We start from the raw sequence: 9,982 nt of genomic DNA on the forward strand, positions 1-9,982 counted from the left end.
TGAATAAACAGATCTCAGGCAGGCTTTTCTAAGAGCATTCAGTATTTTGCCCCAAATGTAAACCTTTAACAGCTACATGTTTATTTTTGCAGAGGTGAGTCTAAAACACAAGCAGATTTTGGCGATCATTTGCATAGGAAGAAACAGACTTCACACTTGTGAGTCAGAGGTGTTTGCTTTGGAGGGTTGCATTTTCGCTTTCTATGCTGGGTGAAGTGAGGGTGTTGTCTTTCTGTGTCCCCTTCCTCCTATCTCCCAAACATCACCTACAGGCTTTCCCATGAGAATTCAACAGCTGTTCCTTTCCAATTCCTAAAGGTTTATGCTGTAGCTCTCCATTTATCTTGGACGTTCCCCCTGGGTTGAGCTTATTAACTTATTGCTTTGCCACTGCAGAATTTATTGCATAAAAGGGCTGGCTGCTGGCTGTGAGCTACGAGTAGTAAGTCCAGAGTTTAAGCCCTTATGAATTAGGGTACCAGATGCATAAGTAAGATAAACCTGTTCTCCTTCTAGCCCTTGGGATGAGATTTCTCCCTTCTGAACTCACCCTCCACAGAGTTAACAATTTAGATTAAATTAGTTCAGAACACAAGAAAGTAATTTTCATTTGTAAAGGGATTAGTTATTTTTCTTCTTCTTAGGCAAGAACAGCAATCTAAATACAAAGATATATTAAAATGGGATTTCATTTTTTTAAATGGCTTTCACTAATACAAATAATAACGTGAAAAGAAAGCTATTTGGGTAATGTTGAATAGCATCTGGCCATGGCATTTTAATAACTGTAGGTAATAAATTTAAGGTTTTAATTACCTATGCTAGTATTTTAATTGCTTTACTGAAGTATACCAATGTGGACTAATGATGCTTGTCAGGACCCTTCCTCCAGGAGGCTCACAGAGGTATTGATCTATCTGGTCCTAGGGTAATGTCCTAGGGCCACACAGAAGGGAACCAGAAAGGAAATAGTTTTTGGCTTAGAATAATTTATATTTCAAATGCATCTTAATCTGTAACAAATTTGGTTGAATGCTTTATACTGGGGAAACTCTTATTCCTGCTATAAAATTTAATCAAATGCATTTCATGGTAAATGAACTACTCAGGTTTAATGAATTTTTCTTTAAATGTGGAGTTAATATTCTATTTTCAAATTACTTTTGTCCAGTGAGTGTTTAAGTGAGTGATTACTCAAAAATTCTATGGAGTTGTTCGTAGACACTAGGAAAATGGAGATAAAATGTGAGTTCCTCATTTCCATTTGCTTAAAAAGTACAACTATTAAAAATAATCACTATGGAGATTCTAAAATGTTGGGACAATTCACACTTTTCTGTAGATCTGGTGACTTTTGAAGGAAATCGTGCGGTCTCTGCTTGCCACCTGCTCCTTTGGTCATAGATTAATAACATCTGACCAAGCATGAAGGCATGCTGGGGCCATCTGCCATTACACATAGCAGGATGTGTTTCAGCTTTCCCAAGTAGAATCCTGATTAACTACATGATGCCACTCTTAGTCGATGGTTATCCTATTGAGCTGCATGACCCAGTTATTTTGATAACAGGAATTTAGTACTCATCTTGGTCAAACCAGAACTACTTAATCTTTTTGGTGGTGGTTCAAGCAGTAGGCCATCTATATAATTTCCATGATAATTATGAGCTTTCTTTTCTATTTATGTAGTAATAGGATGTCAAATCAGACCTTTACGTTTGTCTCTATGCTTTGATGTGGTCTGCAAATTTGAGAAAAATAGATACCGAGAACCTCCACATTCTAAATGAATTGAATTCTCTTCCTTTCACGCCAACCCCTCACCTCCCACTGTCTTCCCCAAAAAGCACCCCCACCTTCACTGCCACAGTCATCATGACTGTGACCACTGTTCTCTCCACCAAGATTTCTTTATGCTCTGGCTTTTTATTGCCAAGGAGCCTTGAGACTATGGATGATAGAGAAGTATGCCCTACTTGCTAGGTATTCATGCTATAAAGGTTCTTATGAGGCAGAGACCCAACCTTTTCCCAGGCTCTTCTTTGGAATACGGAGGAGTCCCAGTGCTATCATTATTGACACTCCAAAGGAAGCCCACCCAGCTGCCTGAAAGTGGTGAGCTTAATGGAAATGACATCAGCCCAAGGACTAAGAGGACTTGAGCAAACTGTAACTAGCTGAGCCACGTGGGGCAAGCCATTTGACCTCAAAATGTTTTAGTTTTCTTTTAGTCAAAAATTAAGGACTAGAATCAATGCTTTTAAATTGTGTCATAAAATGTCACAGTTACGTAGAGCAAATGGCTAGTATTCACACCTCCCTTCCTTCTTTCTCCCACATGGAACGAGACTGATTGCTGGCAGTGCAGCAGCTATCTTGTGACTTTAAGGCAACTAGTGTGAGGATAAAGGCTGGCCCAATTCAGATTGTGGAATTGGCCCCAATGGCATCATTTAGGTGCCATCCCTCCCCTGGACTGCCTTTTCTCAGCTTCTTGCTGTGCAAAACAATAAACTCTTATACAGTGAATCTACTCTTAGTTGTTTACAGTTGCAAACAACTGAATGCTGTTCTAATGAAGGCAGCCTTAAACTAGCGCTGTTCAGACAGTTCTGAGATCAGTAACTATGCTTAGCTTACAATTACTATTTTGTAACCATCTGTTGTTAAAAATGCTGTCTCTGTTAGATACTTGAAGGTTTTTAATTTCTTTTAATTGGGGAATATTTTGCATCCCTGCGGATAATATTCCTTTAATGTTCTTTTATAAATTTCTTGTCTTCAGATGGCAAATCTGAGCACCATATTTATAATTTACCTTTTCCTTTTATATTGAAAATAAAAGGTGATTCAGAAATCAAAAATGAAGTATTAAATTGGGGAAACTACTCCATTATTGACAACTAGTATAGTTAATTGTGGTGATTTTTCAGACTAAAAGAGAGGTTTGTTCTCTTATGCCCTAAAAAACCTTGCTAATTTTTAGATAAGGAGACACTCATTTCTTTTTGCCTTTAATAAGGCAAATACAATTATTGCTTACAAAACTGGCTAGGCACGGTGGCTCATGCCTGTTGTATTAGGCTGTTTTTCCACTGCTATAAAGAAATACCTAAAACTGGGTAATTTATTTCAAAAAGTGGTTTAACTGGCTCATGGTTCTGCAGGCTTAATAGGAAGCATAGTGCTGGCATTGGCTTGTCTTCTAGACAGGCCACAGGAAGATTACAATGATGGTGGAAGGCAAAAGGGGGAGCACACATGTCACATGGCAAGAACAGGAACAAGAGAGAGAAAGAGAGAGTTGGGGAGATAAGGTGCCACACACTTTCCTTTTTTTTCTTTTTTTGAGACGGAGTCTCGCTCTGTTGCCCAGGCTAGAGTGCAGTGGCGCTATCTGGGCTCACTGCAAGCTCCGCCTCCCAGGTATAGGCCATTCTCCTGCCTCAGCCTCCCGAGTAGCTGGCACTACAGGCACCCACCACCAAACCCAGCTAACTGGGCTTTTTTTTTTTTTTTCAGTAGAGATAGGGTTTCACCGTGTTAGCCAGGATGGTCTCGATCTCCTGACCTTGTAATCCACCCACCTCGGCCTCCCAAAGTGCTGGGATTTCAGGTGTGAGGCGCCATGCCCGGCCAGTGCCACACACTTTCAAATGACCAGATCTCCTGTGAACTCAGAGAAGAGCTCACTTATCTCCAAGAGTATGGCCTAAGCCATTCGTGAGGAATCTGCCCCCATGATTCAAACACCTCCCACTAGGCCCCACCTGGTGGGGGACTACATTTCAACATAAGATTTGGGTGGGGACAAATATCCTATTTATATTGCCTGAAATCCCAGCACTTTGGGAGGCCAACGTGAGAAGATTGCTTAAGCCCAGGAGTTCGAGACCAGCCTGGGCAAGATGGCAAGATCCCATCTCTATTTAAATAAACAAACCCTGAATACTGAATGACTGGCAATTTTAACTTTGGAATAAAACTTGGATCTGAATTGCATTTTAATAAGTTGAATTAATAAGTAGATACTTAAAATCTTTAAAAAATTAAATTGAAATATTTTAACATTTTATGTATTTACATCTTGATAACTGTCTGTGGATTGCTAAAATAAATTGAAATTCAACTCTAGTCTTTAAGCAAACACAAAAAGCCTTTGGAACAGGATTCTGGCTTGAAATTTGAAAATGTTGAAGAAATGTTTGGTTGAAAGATGTAGTGGAAACATGTTACCTAGGTTACATGAATTTATGATCAAAAATATAAAATGGATCTTTTAAAGCATATAATCCACCCCCCTGCAATTTAAATATATCTGAAATCTGTTGCCAATTTGATGACTCCTGCTTTATAATGCCACTCATATTCTTTATATTGAAGGCAAAACATCTTTCCAAGAGAGTTAATATCCCTATTTGATAAACACAATAGTTTATTTATAACATGCCATTTCTATCATAGGTCACTGGAGACAGAAATCAGATTTTATTTGAAAGAGTTCAGAATGGTAATGAAAACCTTAGTTTAGATTTTTTACTAATATGTTAAATTTCTATAAAATAATTTACATTCCTACAACAAAAGAGGAAGTATAGAGTAATAAAAAGGATGTGGCCTTTATAATCAAACAATTTGTATAAGAATTCCTGTTCTCCCAAGTCTACCTGTGGAGGATAGTTGTTTGGCTAATCTAACACCCATTCCCAGCCTCCTTTTCTTTGTTCATGAGAAGTTGAGAAATTAAGATTCCAACTTCCCTAGCCTCCCTTCCAATGAGATTGTGTGACTCAGTACTGTCCAATAAACTGTAAGGGGATGCTGCCAGGACATTTCTAGGAAATCTTTTCATTAAAAAGAGAGAAAAACATGAGGAGAAAGTAATTCTCTTTTTGCCATCACCCTTACTCCCTTTTGTGTTGGATCTGCACATGGATAAAATGGCCGCAGTCATCTTAGGACCAAGAGGGTGAGGGCAAGATGATACCAGTGACCCTGACCTAGTGCCCCTACCTTGTTGAATCACTGGCCCAACCATGGGGTTACCAGCTTTCTGATTCCTTATTAGATTATTTAAAAAATACTTTCTTTGCTTGTAGCCATAAGCATTTCTTTCTGATGTATGACCTTTACTATCATTTGCAAACATTTTGACTTTTCTGAGCTTCAATTCCCTTTTCTGTACAATAGAAATGACAGTACTTAATTCACAGTTTGTAGCTATCATTGTGTAAGGATTTGTTGAATAATGTATTTGAGTAGACTAATACAGTAGAAGTTCACTGATAAACACAGTTTGATCATAAATACTTTGGATTGTTGTGTGTGTGTGTGTGTGTTTTTTTTTTTTTCAGGTTTTGGGATGTTTGCATTATACTGATTGAGCATCCCTAGTCTAAAAAGCTGAAATCTGAAATGTTCCAATGAGCATTTCATTTCAATGTCATGTCAGTGCTCAAAAAGTTTCCGATTTTAGAGTATTTCAGATTTCAGCTTTTCAGATTAGAGATACTCAACTTGTAGCTCTTTTTGGTTACATTAATGGAGCCGTGTTGCCTTAACCAACTTCAGAAAGATAGAATTTAATAACATTCTACTGGTTTAACAACACTACATGATATGTTTTAACTTATTTACTTCTCATTTAAATCTTCCAATAAATCTATAGGGAAGATATAATGCTCCATTTACAGATGAGGAAACTGAGGCTTAGAAACAGAAAATGTTCCAAGGTCAAACAGTTTGAATGTGTCAGAGCTGGTGATTGTGCCCTAATGATTACCTTCTAAGCCATGGGGGTTAGGAAAACCCTGAATAGGGAACATGAGAAAGCACCAAGCCAGAGAAGCAGCAGATTTCACCTGCAGCCAGAGAGGCCCAAGGTGAGTGCCACTGAGAGATACTGAGAGCTCTGTAATGTGCATGTATGTATCTATGAATGTGGGGCGGGGGGTGCAGAGGGGAGGACTTGGGAAGCAACTGTGACAGAGGACAAGAGCTGGCTTAGAAACAGGAGCCAAAGATCGAGTCCAGAAGAGCTGATAAAGTTAGTGGTGAACTCACACGCCTTCATGAGTCAAAATGGTAACATGAATTTGTGAATCTGGTGGAAGGAAGACAAAAAAGGATGGAAGGGACTGGCAACTGGAGAGAGGGTACATGCCCCCTGTAAACATATCATTAAAAATGTAAAACACCGTGCTAACAAAATAAGACATGTACATGGAGAGTACTTGATTCCTGGCCACTGGTTTGTAACCTGGAAAGTAATGCAGCAGAAAATAGAAGCCCATTTTGCAAATGACTTCTTAGTCCAAGCTTTTTTCTTTAAAACATGTTATCTGGCATGCATTTACTCTTTCATTTAACCATAGGTTTTAGCAATCAACATCATTTGGCATCTTTGGACCAGGTACTGTGCTAGGGTTGGGGTTATTAAGACTCCAGAATGGAACAAGACACAGTCCTGTCCTTAATAGAAAGAATATCATATTTATAAATTGTAGTAGTACATGAAAGGCCTGAAAATAGCTCTCTTGCAGAGTGCATTGGAGCACAAAGGACAAGGCAACTTATCTTCAAGGAGTGATTATGGGAGGCTGCCCAGAGAAGTGAGACTTTACTGAGTTTATACCAAAAAGAATAGGGGGAGGATTTTGCTTTTGCTTTATAGAGTGTGCGTGAAATGGAGGGCAGTGGTCAGAGAGGGGAAGATTAAGGAAAAGTAGCTCTGCTTTAGGCAATAGATGAGAATGATTTTATATATATATATATATGTGTATGTCAAAGTTTCTGGTTTAAATAATTCATTTCAGGCAGAAGGATCAGCATATGCAAAGGCCAAGAGACAACAGAATAAGGGAAGGTGTATTGCTTATCAATACATAAAGCCTTAAAGGAAGGCCAGATAATGAAAAGCTTTTATGACAAGAATTTAGGGTCTTTGGATTTCATCTTGCAGGCATTTGAAGGATTTTAATTGGAAAAATCAAGGGTAAATTAGCATACAGAAGGATAACTCTGGGCTCTCTGAGGAGGGTGGATGTGGAATGAGCAAGATTAGAGAGATGGGAGCCATACAGAGGCTTCTTTCATAGCATGGATAAAATATGATAAAGGATTTGACTGGGATATGAGAAAGGAGGGAACTGGTAGGAGAAATAGGACTTATGATACTAGGATGTGCTTGTTGCTTAGAAAATGCAGAAGAGAGAGAGAAGCCTAGAGTAGTGGCTCTCAAACTCTAGCAAGCAACAGAACCACCTGAAAGGCTCCTAGTAGTCCTTGGCTGGGAACTTGTTTGCATTTCCAAGAAACTCCTAGGGCATGCTGATGCTGACATTGCTGGTCTGGGAGACACACTTTGAGAACCACTGGTCCAGGTAACTTGCAGGACTTTGCCCTGGGTAGGTGACCATTTAAATCTACTCTTCCATAAACTTTAGAAGTTAGTGCAAGTATTGAATTGGCAGACCATCTTATTAACAAGTTATAAATAGTTTGTATCAAATAAGTGGTCAGATGAGAAGTTCATAATTTGCAAAGCCTCTGATTTGTTTTTTTTTTTTTTTTTTTTTGAGACCGACTCACCCTGTCACCCATGCTGGAATGCAGTGGTGCGATCAGGAATCACTGCAGCCTTGACCTCCTGGGCTCAAGAAATCCTCCCATTTATCAGTCACCCAAGTAGCTGGGACTAAAGGCACAAAGCCTCTGATTCTAAGAAAGACTGAAGTGAAAAGGTTTCTAAACACCAACAGTTTTATTTTCCATGAATGATAAAGTAATTGAGATAGGGAAACAGAGGGAATCTTATTAATTTAGATTTCTATAATTGGCAACGTAGAATAATTTGGAGAGATTATCAATGGAGTTTCTTTGTAGTAAATATTATAAGAACTTATAAGCAAGCAAATAACAGAAGGATTGAAATAATAATTCATACCATGTAGAAAGTAATTTTACTAGGAAATATAGAAAATGTTATTTTCTCAGATGAGCATCCAGAGATGAGCATTATCTTTGGCTGGAAGATAATAAATAAGCCTATTATTTCCTGAGGCTTTTTATAGATTCCTACTGTCTTCTGATTCCACTTTTCTATGGATTCATCCAGCCATTGCAAACATATTTGGGTGTTTGATGGTACAGCTGTGGCTGCTGCGAGCACATTTTAAAAATGTGGTCCTAGGACCTCCACCAAAGACTGCCTGAAGTCAGAATCTCAAGGGATGGAGCTTTGAATCTATATTATTAGCAGCCTCACCAAGTAATTCACACTCACACTGAAGTTTGACAACCCCTAGCATAGATATTTGGCTTTCAGGGATAAAAGGTTTTCTTCTCTCAAGAGAATAAATTTACATCACTTACATTTGTAGTGACCTAGCTTGCTGTGACTACACTTTTGTCTCTTAACAAGCAATTGTAATAGGTATTCATCTCAGTCCACAAAATGATGCATAACAAATCAAATCTCTCTCCACTTCCTTCCCTCCCTTTCTCTCTTCCTTCCCTCCCGTGCTGCCTTTCTGTCCAACTCAACTCAGTGTTTATTGTGAGCTCTCATAGCTTTAGAAAATTAGGTTTTAATTTTTTTGTGCTATGGAACCCTCTGGCAGTCTGGCAAAGTCCAGGGCCTCTTTTTGGAATACTTTTTTTAAATGCACAAAATACAATACATAGAAGTACAAAGAAAATGCATTAATTAAATCTTAGATATTGACTGAAAATTTTAAAATCTACTTCCAATAGTAAGAACTCCAGTTGTATTCGAGAAATGGATATATTTTTTAAAAATTATTAAAAATAAGACCCATGGGTATTCTAAAAATTGCCACAATTTTGTAGTGATGAGCATAAATAATATTCTGAGATATCAGCAACAACTCTGATGTCATGTATTGGGGAAAATTCAGCCAGATATAGGGCAAAATTCACCCCTGATATTTCATGTAGGTTCTTTTGTATTTTCCCTAAGCATTGGCTGGTTTGAGAAATAAAGGGACAGAGTACAAAAGAGAGATATTTTAAAGCTGAGCATCCAGGGGATACATCACATGATGGTAGGTTCCATGATGCCCCCTGAGCCGTAAAACCAGCAAGTTTTTATTAGTGATTTTCAAAAGGGAAGGGAGTGTACGAGTAGGGTGTGGGTCACAGAGATCATGTGCTTCACAAGGTAATAGAATGTCACAAGGCAAATGGAGGCAGGGTGAGATCACAGGACCACAGGACCTGGGCGAAATTAAAATTGCTAATGAAGTTTCAGGCACCATTGTCATTGATAACATCTTATCAGGAGACAGGGTTTGAGAGCAACCGGTCTGACCAAAATTTGTTAGGTGGGAATTTCCTCGCCCTAATAAGCCTGGGAGCGCTATGGGAGACTGGGTCTTATTTCATCCCTACAGTTTCAACCATAGAAGACAGCCACACCCAAGGGGGCCATTTTAGAGGCCCACCCTCAGGGGCGCATTCTTTTTCTCAGGGATGTTCCTTGATGAGAAAAAGAATTCAGCAATATTTCTCCCGTTTGCTTTTGAAAGAGGAGAAATATGGCTCTGTTCTGCCCAGCTCACTGGCAGTCAGAGTTTAAGGTTATCTCTCTTGTTCCCTGAACATTGCTGTTATCCTATTCTTTTTTCAAGGTGCCCAGATTTCATATTGTTCAAACACATATGTTCTTCAATTTGTGCAGTTAACACAATCATCACAGGGTCCTGAGGCGACATACATCCTCCTCAGTTTATGAGATGACAGGATTAAGAGATTAAAGTAAAGACAGGCATAGGAAATCACAAGGGTATTGACTGGGGAAGTGATAAGTGTCCATGAAATCTTCACAATTTATGTTCAGAGATTACAGTAAAGACAGGCATAAGAAATTATAAAAGTATTAATTTGGGGATCTAATAAATGTCCATGAAATCTTCAAAATTTATGTTCTTCCACCATAGCTTCAGCCAGTCCCTCCATTCGG

The 9,982-nt window shown here is 38.7% G+C and overlaps 3 annotated features.

Annotated features, from left to right (window-relative positions):
- Window positions 237–296: an enhancer, noted in NCBI's record as "active region_20664". NCBI's record gives its function as "activates an Ori minimal core promoter by ATAC-STARR-seq in GM12878 lymphoblastoid cells {active_cell/tissue: GM12878}" and the evidence as "EXISTENCE:reporter gene assay evidence [ECO:0000049][PMID:35858748]".
- Window positions 377–476: an enhancer, noted in NCBI's record as "active region_20665". NCBI's record gives its function as "activates an Ori minimal core promoter by ATAC-STARR-seq in GM12878 lymphoblastoid cells {active_cell/tissue: GM12878}" and the evidence as "EXISTENCE:reporter gene assay evidence [ECO:0000049][PMID:35858748]".
- Window positions 9,022–9,535: an enhancer, noted in NCBI's record as "OCT4-NANOG hESC enhancer chr3:143856144-143856657 (GRCh37/hg19 assembly coordinates)". NCBI's record gives its function as "activates a minimal SCP1, AML or CMV promoter by ChIP-STARR-seq in naive H9 embryonic stem cells {active_cell/tissue: H9 hESC(naive)}" and the evidence as "EXISTENCE:reporter gene assay evidence [ECO:0000049][PMID:30033119]".

This window comes from Homo sapiens, chromosome 3 (assembly GCF_000001405.40).
Source record: "Homo sapiens chromosome 3, GRCh38.p14 Primary Assembly".
In the NCBI taxonomy this organism is placed as follows: Eukaryota; Metazoa; Chordata; class Mammalia; order Primates; family Hominidae; genus Homo; species Homo sapiens.